A 14,124-nucleotide genomic window follows, 5' to 3' on the forward strand; every position below is an offset into this window, starting at 1 on the left:
AGTGCCTGTAGAACCCGCTGACCCTCCCAGGCCTCCAGTGACCACTGCCCTGGAGAAGGGGGAGTTTCAGGAGAATGAGGACCGCTCCTTGTGGGTACCCTTTCTCCCTGAGCCCCAGTCTTCCCACACTTAGGATTCTGCAAAGATCACCCCCCTCTACCCAGCTCTGAAAGGGTAGGATTCTGAGGCTTGGTCAGTGTAGTAAACAGTTCATTCACTTTGTTGGGGGTGGGAGGCCCAGGTCCTTCTTTTGTGTCCACAGTCAAGAAGAGGACAGATGGCATCTTTTGAACGTCACTTGCTTCATTTATAAAATGGGGCCGTTAATGTTTGCCTTCCCCTCCTTATGTGGTTAGAGGGAAGATCTAATGAGACATAGGGACTGTCAAGGGTTGTGTGCATCTGAGGGATACTCTCCTTCAGCTCTCCTGGTCCCCCCTGGAGCTGTAAGCTTCAGCTCCAGGAAGGGAGAGACCCTGTTATCCATGACTCTCTCTGAAGAAACCATCAGCTTGAGGCTGCAGCATGGCCACATGGCCACATGGCCACATCTCAGCCTTGAGGGGGTCTGCATGGGCTGAAACCAACCCCGGGCTAGCCTCGGCCCCAGCAGCTGGGCTAGCCCACACCATTCTGCCTAGGGCTTTTCTAGGTCCCCTACTCCTGGGGCATCCTGGGTACCCACCCCTGAGCTACAGTGGGCCTCTATTCTGGGCTAACCCAGGGTCTCTTTAGGCTAGTAGATGTTGGTCAGTATCAGACATCTTCTCAGGGACATCTTCCTTGCTCTGGGCTCCTCACAGAGTTGGATCCAGAAGGAGAAGGCAGGGCTAATGCTGGCCATTTCCCTCTGCCTGGGGAGCCCGTGGCATGTACTCAGGAACAGTTAGGTAACTCTCCACACCCCAGCCCTGCCCCATTTCACATTCCAGCCTCAATTTCTGCAAAGCCCCAGCTGCTGTCTACACCCACTTCCTGCCAGGCCAGTAATGTACAGAGATTGGGTTCCTCCACTGCCCTTTCCCGAGCCACTAATCCTGCCCATTTCTCACCAGTCTCCTTTCTCACCCTAATCCCTATAATGTGAGGTGTGCTAGTTACTTCTAGGGGCATCGGAGACTGTGAAGGAGAGCCAGGAGGGAGGGTTGGGGGTCTCCTCAGGAGTTGTGAGCCTTCACACTGAGCTCTTTTCCTGACCCAGACCACAGATTTGTCAAGTACCTTGCTATGTTCACAAATCCTCATCAGCTACAGTGCCACTCCACAGAACTTCCTGTGATGGTAGACATCTTCTGTCTGGGGTGTCCTGTTAGACATATCTGGTAGCCACTAGTTACATGTGAAAGATGGTTAGCGTGACTGAGGAACTGAAGTTTTAATTGAATTGGATTTTGATACATTTTACTTTAAATTGTTCAATCTGGCTAGTGGTTACCATATTGGATGGTGCAGGTGGCCCATTTTTATTTTATTCTACTTTATTTTATTTTATTTTTGAGACAGGGTCTCACTCTGTTGCCCAGGCTGGAGTGCAGTGGCATGATCTCGGCTCACTACAGCCTCGACCTCCCCAGGCTCAATCAATCCTCCCCACCTCAACCCCCCGGAGTAGCCTGGACTGCAGGCACATTCCACCACGCCCTGCTAATTTCTTATATTTTTTGTAGAGATGGGGTCTCATTACATGCATTACCTCATTTTGGCCTGGTGAGGTGGCTCACACGTGTAAACCCAGCACTTTGGGAGGCCGAGGCAGGTGGATCACCTGAGGTCAGGAGTTCCAGACCAGCCTAGCCAACATGGCAAAACCGTGTCTGCTAAAAATACAAAAATTAGCCGGGCGTGATGGCGGATGCCTGTAATCCCAGTTACTCAGGAGGCTGAGGCAGGAGAATGGCCCGAACCTGGGAGGCGGAGGTTGCAGTGAGCCGAGATCATGCCACTGCACTCCAGCTTGGGGGACAGAGTGAGACTCCATCTCAAAAAAGAAAAAAGCAGTGCATTACCTCATTTAAACCTCAGAACATACCTGTGGTGTTGGGTAGGTACTATTACGCCCATTATGCAGATAAGCAAACTGAGGTATGGAGAAGTAACTTATCCAGGGGTAAACCCATGCAATTAACCACTCTGCCATTGTGCTGTTATGCTATCCCATAGTCTTGGCTCTAGGAGCTTCCACCTTAGTTAGGGAGAGAGCCTAAGCATGAAAGTCACCTATATGTGATGCAGTTGGCATCTGAGCCAGGCCTTGAAGAAAGGAAGGATTTTGATTTATGGAGAGCAGAATAAAGGGCATCCCAAGTGGAGGGGATGGCATGGGCAAAGGCATGGAGGTGGGAAAGTGAGAAGCATGTGGAGGGGGTAGATTACAGCAAACAAGACAGATTAGGACCCAGCTTGCATAGAGCTCACAGTCTCCCATTGGTGAGCATACCCTCTGTGCTGGGAGCTTTATATCATTATCAAATCATTCAGAAGCAGGTATGGGTATTCCCATTTTACAGCTAAACAAATAGAAGTTCAGAGAGATCAAGAAACTTTTCTGAGGTCACACAGCCAGTAAATGAGGAGCCAGAACTTGAACCCAAACCTATCTGACTCTGGATTGCACAGCCCACCCTGCTTTCCCCTGTAGGGCTTAATATTGTGTCCAGAATATAGTAAGTGCTCAATAAATGCTTTAAATCGTCATTGTGTAGAAGCCTGGATCTGCCTGGATTCAAGCTGGATTCAGGCTGCAGGGTGTCTTGGGGCCAGAAGGGTTAATTTTGCCTGCCTTGAAACAAAGGCCTTGGGGAAGGAGAGACCCCCAGCCTGCCCCCTAAACCCCAGAGCACACTGTCTACAGGTAAGGTCCCATGTGTGTTTGGCTCCTCATTTACCAAGCTCTCAGGGGACCATGGCAACAACCACAACTTAAACAAACAACCGCAGGTGGGTAGATAGAGCTGCTTGCGCCCCAACCTCTCCTGTCAGCCGGTTACTAGGAAATCTGAAACAGCCACCCCTTTCAGTCCATCCCTGGCACATTCCTGATCACCCTCCCTCCCAGGATGGATCTTGCCAGAAGCAGTTGGGTAGGTCTAAAGGGGCCCTTCCCGGGGGTACAGGAGCCTCGACATAGGGCAGGCATCACTGGGAGGAGGTGAGTAGGGGGCATTTAGACCACACAGATGTGAAGTGGGTGGCCTGAAAAGGGGAGATGGAAGCCAGGTGCCGAGGCTCACACCTATAATCCCAGTGCTTTGGGAGGCTGATGTGAGAAGATTGCTGGAGGCCAGGAGTTTGAGATCAGCCTGGCAACATGGTGAGACCCTGTCTCTTCAAAAAATTTAAAAATTAGCTGGGCATGATGGCGTACACCTGTAGTCCCAGTTACTTGGGAGGCAGAGGCAGGATCGCTTGGGCCCAGGAGTTTGAGGCTGCAATGAGCTTTGATAGGGCCACTGCACTCCAGCCTGGGCAACAGAGTGAAAGCTTATCCTTTAAAAAAATAAAAGGGTTGCAGGGAGATGGAAAGGGATTGGGGCACACGTCTCCAGACCCCAGTGGCGCTCTCAGTGGCACCTGGGACAGTCCACTTTCTATCTTTCTTTGGGCAGTTTCATCTCCTTTAATAAATAAAAAAAACTTAAGTGTGATATAATTCATACATCACAAATTCATTGTTTTTAAAAATAGAAGGTATCAAGTTTTCTTACCTTTTTATTAAAAAAAAAATCAGTAACAGACAAGAGTGTGAGAGACAGCTACAGAGAGGTGCTCACTCCAACACCGCCTGCGGAAAAGGTCACCCGGGGTAGAAGAGAACCCCTCCAGTGGGGACCCTGGGTTGGGGTGGTGATGGCAGCTAATAGCCAGTGGGTGCAGCAAGGGAGGGTCATTCCTGTTACCCCAGCCAGTGGGGTCAGGAGGAGGCACCGTCCACCCAGGCTGAGCCAGGCTCAGGTAATAGTAGCCTAAAACAATAGCCAAGGAAGTTAGTCAGATGTTTGGTTCCTCTATGGAAACTAAAGACAACATCTTAGCATATATTTCCAAGTCGTTTTTCAGAAACCTGGGCCCCTCCCCAGAAGGATCCGCTGAAGACTGAACTCTTTGTTGTAAATTTCTTCCTGAAGGGCTTAGAGGGAGTCACACCCACCAGCCCAAGTAACCGGGACCACCAGCCCAACCAGGCCTCTCCTCTCTGGAGAAGCAGGGTCCCAGATAACAGGCCCCAGCTGGAACCTCATCAGCCCTTCCCCATCTCCCCTCCCCTTGCCCAGGGAAAGGGTCATCCCTGCACAGCTGAGGCTGTGACTTGTGAAGCCAGTTGCATTCTCTAGAACGGTGCTGTGCGAAGGATGGAAATGCGCTCTCTGTGTGGTCAGCACGGTGGCCACGAGCCACGTACGGTGACCGAGTGAGCCCTTGAAGTGTGGTTAATGCAACTGAGTTAGATGGAGCAGGGATCTCTCTTAGGGGCCTGCTGGGCTCCCCACAAGCATGGAAATAAAGGAAAACCTTGAGTTCCTTCCAAGGAAATTCCAAGCCCCTACCTAGCCCCGGGAAGTAAATAAGCAACTTGATAACCAAGAAGGTAATAGTAGCCTAAAACAATAGCCAAGGAAGTCAGAGTCAGAGGTTTGGTTCCTCTACAGAAACTAAATACAACATCTTAGCATATGTTTCTGAGTTGTTTTTTAGAAACCTGGACCCCTCCCCAAAAGTATCGGGAGAAGACTGAACTCTTTGTTGTAAATTTCTTCCTGAAGGGCTTAGTGGGAGTCACACCCACCAGTCCAAGCTAACCTTCTTTTCTGCTGATCCCAAATTTTTAAACAAACCTTCTTTACTTTAACCAATTGCAAATCAGAAAACGTTGACTCTACCTATGACCTGTAAGCCCCAAGCTGCGTGATATCCCACTGTTTCAGGCCAAGACCAGTGTGTAACCTCCATGCAACGATTTTGCCTATAACTTCTGCTCTCCTGAAATTTACCACTGCCTTTAAAAACCCTTACCTGCAAACCATCGGGGAGGTCAGAGTTTAAGCCTTAGCTGCCTGGTCCTCTTTGCTGGGTGCCCTGCAAATAAACACTTTCCTTTCTATTGCTGCAAAAATCTCAGAATGGATATCTGGTCTTACTGTGCCAGGTGAGCAGACTCCAGTTCAGTTCCAGCACATGAGGAATGAATTAACTTTATGTGATTTTAGTTGACTTAAATTTAAACAGCCACACGTGGTTACTGTGTTGGATAGCACAGGCCTAGAGCTTAGAGAAAGCAAACCAAAGAACGCCAGCTGGGTCCCAGGCAGAAGGCAGAAAGAGGGTAGAATGGGCTACCTCAGCTATTCCAGCCCCGTGAAAAGGCACCAGGGGCCGGGTGTGGTGGCTCATGCCTGTAATCTCAGCACTTTGAGAGGCCAAGGCAGGTGGATCATTTGAGGTCAGGAGTTCAAGACCAGCCTGGCCAACATGGTGAGACCCCTCCCGCCACACCATCTCTACAAAAAGTGCAAAAATTAGCCGGGCATGGTGGTGGGTGCCTGTAGTCCCAGCTACTCAGGAGGCCGAGGCACGAGAATTGATTGAACGCAGTAGGTGAGCTGAGATTACACCACTGCACTCCAGCCTGGGTGACAGAGCGAGACTCTGTCTCAAAAAAAAGAAAAAAAAAAAAGGCAGCAGGAATGGGGCAAGAAAAGAGGTCAAAATGCACCCAGCCACACAAAAATTCGCTCACTCAGCCAGGTGCGGTGGTTTACCCCTGTAATCCTGTAATCCCAGCACTTTGGGAGGCTGAGGCGGGTGGATCACCTGAAGTCGGGAGTTCGAGACCATCCTGGCCAACTAAAAATACTAAAAATACCGTCTCTACTAAAAATACAAAAAATTAGCTGGGCCTGATGGCACGCGCCTGTAATCCCAGCTACTCGGGAAGCTGAGGAGGGAGAGTCACTTGAACCTGGGAGGCAGAGGTTGCAGTGAGCCGACATCACACCACTGCACTCCAGCCTGGGCGACAGATGGAGATTCTGTCTCAGAAAAAAAAAAAAAGTCCGGGCGTGGTGGCTCACACCTGTAATCCCAGCACTTTAGGACATCGAGGTATATGGATAGCTTAAGCCCAGGAGTTTGAGACCAGCCTGGGCGGCATGGTAAAATCCCGTCTCTACAAAAAATACAAAAAATTAGCTGGTCGTAGTGATGTGTGCCTGTAGTTCCAGCTACTTGGAAAGCTGAGGTGGGAGGATTGTGTTGATGTGGACAGGAAGCAGGAAAATGCTAGGCAGAAAATGGCAAGTTCCCTGGAGAGGCCCACACCCTCAAGCCTTGGACCACGGCACAACGTGTTCTCACTTTGTCTCTGTTTTCCAGCTTGAATGTTGCTTTCTGGCCTGCCCCCAGCCCCCATCTTTTACCTATAAAAACCCCAGGCTCTGTTGGCAGAGGGGTGGCACAGTGGCAGAGTGGAGCAGCAGAGAAGGAGAAAAGAGAAGCAGCAGCCAGGTGTCGGAGAGAAGCAGTTTGACTTCAGAGGGATGGCTTGACAGCGAGACTTCAGAGAAGAGTTCCGCCAGGGACAGCTGAACTCTGGGAGAAGACTGCCTTTCCACTCCATCCCTGTTCCAGCTCCCCATCCTGCTGAGAGCCACTTCCACTGCTCAGTAAAATCCTCCATATTCACCACCCTTCAATTCATTTGTGTGATCTGAATCTTCCTGGATGCTGGACAAGAACTCAGGTACCAAGAGGGCAGGTGCAAAAGGCTGTCACCCTCACCATCCACTGAGCTGGTAAACATTTAAGCCATCCCTGGGTGGCAAAGCTAAAAGGGCACACTGTAACATATGTCCTCTGAGGCTCTTGAGGTCACAGGTACCCCTGCTAGATGCTGCTATGGAGCTGCACAGAGTTCTACTTCTGGTGCCCAGAAGCATTCATCCCAGCCCTTGCACCCACTCACCTGTGTGCTCCCCCACCATGAGGGGTTGAGAGCTGCAGGCTAAGTAAACCAGCCAACCCCTTCTTGAGTCCCTCAAAGGGGTCAGGGGGACTATCTTGTTTCAGCTTGAGCCTGGGAGGTCAAGGTTGCAGTGAGCTATGATCACACCACTGCACTCCAGCCTGGGCAACAGAGCGAGACCCTGTCTCAAAAAAAGGAGTATCTCCTCTGATTTTATCTTATTTTCAAGAAACAAACAAAGCAAAATTTAAAAAAAAAACATTAAATACAAACTTAGCAGGTGCTGTGGAAATGTACGAGAGAATGAAGAACATCTTGGATTCTCAAAGTCTTGCTCAGGCAGAGACACTCTGCACAAAGGAATGAACCATTCAAAAAATCCACTGAATATAGATTTATGGATGGGCGTGTTGGCTCATGCCTATAATAAAATCCTCCATATTCACAACCAAGAAGATCCAAGCAGGACAGCATTTTGGGAGGCTGAGGCAGAAGGATCGCTTGAGCTCAGGAGTTCGAGACCAGCCTGGGAAACATAATGACACCCTGTCTCTACAAAAAACACATAAAATAAAAATTAGCCAGGTGCAGTGGCATGTGCCTGTAGTCCCAGCTACTCTGGAGGTTGAGGTGAGAGGATCACTTGAGCCCTGCAGGTCGAGGCTGTAGTGAGCTGTGATTGCACCACTGTACTCCAGCCTCGGCAACAGAGCGAGACCCTGTCTCAAAAAAATAAAATAAAAGTAGATTTGCAAATATTCCACAAATCCACTTCAACATGAACTTCTGGCTCTTTTTCTCACCCTCCCTCCCCAGATAAAAAGGTTGATTTCCAAAAGGCACTTGAAGGAGCCTAGAATGGGCCAAGGTATACCATATACTATGGAGACTCCTGTGGCATGATCCTAAGTACTCATTTACAGACACATCTCAAGGTGCAGATGGTTCTAGCTCCTTCTCCCAATTCCTGCCAGAGTGTGAGCCTGTGAGAGCAGATTATGTCGGGGGCAGAGTGATAAAAATGTTCGGCAGTTAGATAGTGGTGTTGTGAGTCCTGGCTGATGGGAGCACATCCTCAGCCAGGACTCCCAAGACCCCTTCCTCCCTGACTTCAAAGGGGCTCTGGATGAGGCATGTTCAGTATGGGTTTGAAGCTGGACCTGGATTCTAAACTGGAAGTTAAAGAAATAATCCAATTCTACTCTTGCCTTCAGAAAGGCCAAGTTTAATTCTATTTTTCTTCGGGGGCAACTGAGGCCCAAGAAATCAAGAAGAGCCAGGCAAGCTAGGCCCAGTGGCTCATGCCTGTAATCCTAGCACTTTGGGAGGCCGAGGCAGACGGTTTACTTGAGTCCAGGAGTTTGAGACCAGCCTGGCCAACATGGTGAAACCCCATCTCTACAAAATATACATATATATATAAAATAGCTGGGTGTGGTGGCGCATGCCTGTAGTCCCAGCTACTTGAGGGGCTGAGGCAGGAGGATTGCTTGATTCTTGATTCCATGTCGAGACTGCAGTGAGCCCTTATTCTGCCACTGCATATCAGAGTGAGACCCTGTCTCAATAAAAATAAAAATAAAAAACACACAAAACAACAATAACAACAACAACCAAGAAGATCCAGGCAGAACAGTAGAAGACGATGTTTCTCCAGACACTTAAAGGTAACCAGAAGGCTGGGCGTGGTGGCTCACGCCTGTAATCACGTTGCTTTGGGAGGCCCAGGATCACTTGAGGCCAGAAGTTCAAGACCAGCCTGGCCATCATGGCAAAACCCCGTCTCTACTAAAAATACAAAAATTAGCCAGGTGTGGTGGTGCATGCCTGTGGTCCTAGCTACTCGGGAGGCTGAGGCAGGAGAATTGTTTGAATCGGGGAGGTGGAGGTTGCAGTTAGCCAAGATTACTCCACTGCACTCCAGCCTGGGCAACACGGCAAGACCGTGTCTTAAAAATAATAATAAATATATATAAAGATAACCGGAACTGGAGATACTAACAAGACACTATTAGGTTGTCCTCCCGCATCCTAATGGCCACTCTGCAAAATCCTCCGACTTCCCTATCCCCTAAAGTCCAAACCAGTGCTCATAGAAGAAGCGTAATAACTCCTTGCTAGGGGCTTTTTTGTAGATGGGCTTCCTGCTCAGGTCGTTTCTGCCTTCATCCTTCTTCATATGGTTCACCAGAAGCAGGATCAGGAAAACAGCAGAGAGGATGCCCGCGATGCTGTCCACAATCAGGACTGCCACGACCTCCATTCTCTCAAAGATGTTGCTGCCCTGGGCAGTGTTGGACATGGGTGCCTTATTGGACACATCCTGGTCCCCCGCAGAGAGTGAGATCCTCCTGGGGATGACCTCGTTGTCCTCCAGTTCCTTGGTTTCAGTGGGACCAGGTTCCCAGGCCCTGCCCTCTCAGGGATGTGGTTATCTAGAAGCACCAAGGGTTGGATCACTTCAGGGATGATCTTGGGGTCCCTTGACTCATCAATATCTCTAGAGCCAGAGAGCTCAGAGTCATCAGGTTCCTGCCCCCAACACCCACATCCAGAGTCTTCCAGTAGGGATCTGGAGAAGTTTGGCCCCTAGGCGGTCCTGGGTTGATGACCTCAGTTTCTTGGATTGACTCAGGGGTGGTGGGGGTGCCTGCAAAAAGCAGCAGCAGCAGCAGGAGCAGGAGGGCGGGGGCAGTGGTACCGCCATCCAGAGAGGGTGAACAGCCTGCGGTGAGTCAGAGCAATCATTCCCAAAGTGTACAATTCAGTGGTACTTAATATATTCACAAGGTTTTGCAACTATCACCACTATCTAATTGCAGAACATTCGCATCACCTCACCCTCAAATAATTCTGTACTCAGCAGCATTCATTTCCTATTTCCTGCTCTGTTCCAGCCCCTGACAGCCAGGAATCTATTTTCTATCTCTACAGATGTCCATATTCTGGATATTTCATATGAATGGAATCATATAGTACGTGGTCTTTTGTGTCTGGCTTCTTTCACTTAGCATAATGTCTTCAAGGTTCATCCATGCCGTAGCATGGATCAGTGTTTCATTCCTTTACATGGCTGAATAATCTTCTATTCTATGGATAGACCACGTTTTGTTTATCTGTTCATCAGTTGATGGACATTTGGGTTATTTCCGCTTTTTTGGCTATTATGAATAATGTTGGTATGACTATGTTTTGTATCAGTTTTTGTGGGAACATAGGTTTTCACTTCTTTTGGGTATAACCTTAGGAGTGGAATTGCTGGCTTGTATAGTGATTCTATATTTAACCTTTGAGGAACTGCCTTTCTATTTTCCAATGTGGCTACACTATTTTACATTCCCACTAGCAGTGTATGAGGGCCGCAATTTCTTCACATCCTTGCCAACATCGTTCACATCTTTTGTTATTTTCCATTTGCTTTTTTTTTTTTTATCATAGCCATTGTAGTGGCTGTCAAGTGGTATCTCATTGTGGTTTTGAATTGCATTTCTCCAACAACTATGCAATTGAGCATCTTTTCATGTGCTTATTGGCCATTTGTATATTGTCTATGGAGAAATGTCTAGTCAAACTTTAAAAATGTCTATCTATTGGACCAGGCACGGTGGCTCACACCTGTAATCCCAGCACTTTGGGAGGCCGAGGTGGGTTGATCACTTGAGGTCAAGAGTTCGAGACTAGCCGGACCAACATGGTGAAACCTCGTCTCTACTAAAAATACAAAAATAAATTAGCTGGGCATGGTGGTGCATGGTATCACCAGGTTGCCCAGGATGGTCTCAAACTCCTGAGCTCAAGCAATCTGCCTGCCTCGGCCTCCCAAAGTGCTAGGATTACAGGCATGAGCCACTGTGCCTGGCCTTGATACAGATTCTTTATTGCTTAGTTTCATCTCCCTTCTTCTCTCAGAAATTAAAATTAAGTATGATCATGATGACGATGTTGATGATACTGCTGCTGCTGCTGTCTGTACTACGCAATACCAATGGCCACCAAGAAGTCAAGACACTCTGGAGAAGACTCCAAAGACCTCTGAGGTGGGAACACAAATCCTGGTCAAGTTCATAAGGATTTCCCTTTCCTCTTTCATACAACACCCTTGCTATTTATTACAGGAATGGGTTGCTATGGTTACAGGAACATGGGGGAGGACAGTGAATGATTCTATAAAGTGAAAGAGGCCTTAATTTGTATGTTGTCTAGGGTTGGAGCTGGCACATCTCTTCCCACAATGCCTGGGGTTACCCAAAGGGCATCAAGTGTCCCAAATTCTTCATGCCAAACTGGTCTCTGTTTTCATTGGCATTTGTGGAAAGCCTGTAGTGCCTAAGGCTACTGGGGAGAGGACCTGGGTCTGAGGGTGATCACCAACAAAAGAGCCCAAGCAGTTGTCATTCCTCTCCCAACCCTGGGCAAATAATCCACAAATAGTTCAGAAATGGATGCTGCTGAAACATGGGCCTGGCTATCTGGATTTGAATCTTAACTTCACCTCTAATGTGTTGTGTGATCTTGAGTCTCACAAGGAAATTGAAGCTGGTAACATCTCCTTCTTACAGGGTACTGAGATGACCAGTGTAGAAGAGACCAATAAGCTACCTCACCTACTGCCTAGCACATGGTAAGTGATCAACAGTGTAGGCCTTTACCGCTATTACGAGGCTAGTCACCCAGCCTGCTTTCAGCTCCAAGACTAGGACACAGCTAGGCGAGCCCATTCTTTCCTGTTGCTTCTCCCCTGTTCTGTGGCTACCCTGCTCTACCCTCTTCTTGGGTCTCTCTGAAGTAGTGGGTCATGCTGCCAGACTCTGCCCTTTGGCGGTGCTCTTGGCATGACCCAACCTGGGTGTGGACGGTCCAGGGAAGCACATGGCTCTGGTGGTAAATGGTCCAGGAAGGCACATGGAGTCTCTGGAGTCAGACATCCTGAGTTCCAACCCTGGTGCCACCACTGAGCAAATGTCTGTTTCTGAGCCTTACTTTCCTCTCCTGTAAAACAGGAATAATTATGTTTATTTTATTATTTTATTTTATTTTATTTTAAGACAGAGTCTCACTCTGTCACCAGGCTGGAGTGCAGTGGCGCGATCTCGGATCACTGCAACCTCCACCTCCCCGGTTCAAGCAATTCTCCTGCCTCAACCTCCCGAGTAGCTGGGATTACAGGTGTGTGCCACTATGCCCAGCTAATTTTTGTATTTTTAGTAGTGGCGGGGTTTCACCATGTTGGCTAGGATGGTCTCGATCTCCTGACCTCATGATCCGCCCGCCTCGGCCTCCCAAAGTGCTGGGATTACTGGTGTGAGCCACCGCACCTGGTCTATGTTTATTTTATAAGGCTGCCATGAAGATTAAACAAAGTGGCATAGATAGAGCCACAAGCTTATGCAGGTGCTTAGTAAATGGTATCTGGTTTTTTTTTGGAACCTCTGGGAAGTGCAGCTGGGGTGTGGGGAAGGGACCCTAACTGATAGGGCCTGGGTGGCGGTGTGGCCTAGGGAAGGCCTTTCAAGACAGGGTTCCAGTGCCCTTGAGCGTGCATTTAACAAGGTTGGAGAGGGAGTCCTAGGCTGAAGGTACAGCATGAGCAAAGGCAGAGGGGCAGGAAAGAGCTTGATGAATTGGTGAATTTAAGTCATGGGATGTGTCTGGAACTGGGGTGCAGTGGCCAGGTTGCAGAGGGCCTTGCAAGCTACCACTGAGGCTGATTTTACCCAGGGGTACGTGGGGCACTAGAGAAGGGCTTATGCAGAGAATGATGTGATCAGATTTGCATTTCAGAAAGATTTTATTCTGGCTGCCCTGCGGAATCTGGACAGGAGTGGGTAGAAATGGGCACAGAGAGGGTACGGTGGCTCACACCTGTAACCCCAGCACTCTGGGAGGCCAAAGTGGGAGGATTGCTTGAGTCCAGGAGTTCAAGACCAGCCTGGGCTTCATAACAAAACCCTATCTCTACAAAAAATAAAAAATTAGCTAAACATGGTGGTGCACACCTGTAGTCCCTGCTACTCAGGAGGTGAGGTGGAAGGATCACCCGAGCCCAGGAGGTCGAGGCTACAGTGATGATTGTACCACTGCACTCCAGCCTGGGCAACAGAGTGACACCCTGTCTCAAAAAAAAAAGAAAAAGAAAAAGAAACGGAGCCTGCAAGTGACAGACCCAGGATCTAAAACGAGGTCAGGCTGCCTTTTTCCGCCACTCCAGGTGGCCCCACGAACAGCCTGGGCCTGGTGAACTTGGCTTCAACCGGCCTGGAAAGTAACCTTCCAATGAGCCCATGCTAAGGGCCACCCCAGTTCACGCTCCTGGTGGACAGGGGTGCGGCTGGCCCAACACTGCCCCCTGGTGGTTAAAAGCAGAAGTCCCCTGAGCATCGCTCAGTTTGGGCCGGGCCTCCTCCCTACCCGCACACCAAGTGTGCGGTCTGGTAGATGGACACAGATTCACGGCTTACCTCTCCCGCTTTGTGTTGTGTGATGTGATAATTCACTTCCTGCCCTGAGCCTCACTTTCCTCATCTGTAGGCTGCGGATGGTGCTTCCTGCCTCAGCTTGGGCCTGGCTCACAGTCGGTATTTGGGCATGGAGCTGGCACCATCACTTCCCACCGAGATGCACAAACGTCTGAGCAGCTTTCTCCCAATCCTGGGCCTTCCCTCCACCCCAGGAACCCAGCACCTCACTTTGTCCCACTGTGTGGCCCCCTGCCCCACACTGGCCTTCCCTGCAGGGGCCCACACGCCATCAACCCTCGTCTCCCCTACTGCAGGCTGGGGGCACCAGCGGCAGCTGACCTGGGTACTGGTTCACTGGACACAGAGGCTTTGGCCAAGGCACTGCCCCCTGCTGAGCTTCGGTTTCCTGGCCTGTAAAATGGGGCTATAATCTCTGTCTGCTTCAGGACTTAATGTGAAGCGGCTGTGCAAACTGTGGAGTGCTGTGCCATGAAGCTCTGGTGAAGACCTACTCTGAGCACCTGCCTAGACTTTCTTACAGTGGTGTCCTCCCTAGCTTGGGCTCCTTGGGCAGTGAGGTGGGCTGGGGCAGGTGAGCCTCTCCAACAGCCATTGAAACACCCGCAACCCTGGGGCCTGGGGTGGTGGCTCACGCCTGTAATTCCAACACTTTGGGAGGCCAAGGTGGGAGGACCACTTCAGGCCAGG

General features: G+C 49.6%; 1 long non-coding RNA gene and 1 pseudogene across 2 annotated transcripts; one reads left to right on the forward strand and one right to left on the reverse strand.

Annotated features, from left to right (window-relative positions):
* On the reverse strand, positions 9,030-9,496 carry SDC4P (syndecan 4 pseudogene; annotated as a pseudogene). Its single transcript, NR_001580.1, has one exon. The product of NR_001580.1 is annotated as a syndecan 4 pseudogene (transcript).
* Positions 9,497-10,813: 1,317 nt separating this feature from the next.
* On the forward strand, positions 10,814-14,124 carry LOC107985579 (uncharacterized). Its single transcript, XR_001755490.2, has 3 exons — positions 10,814-10,995; positions 11,518-11,579; positions 13,487-14,124. It is a non-coding gene; the product is annotated as an uncharacterized LOC107985579 (long non-coding RNA).

Source organism: Homo sapiens, chromosome 22 (genome assembly GCF_000001405.40).
Source record: "Homo sapiens chromosome 22, GRCh38.p14 Primary Assembly".
NCBI lineage: Eukaryota > Metazoa > Chordata > Mammalia > Primates > Hominidae > Homo > Homo sapiens.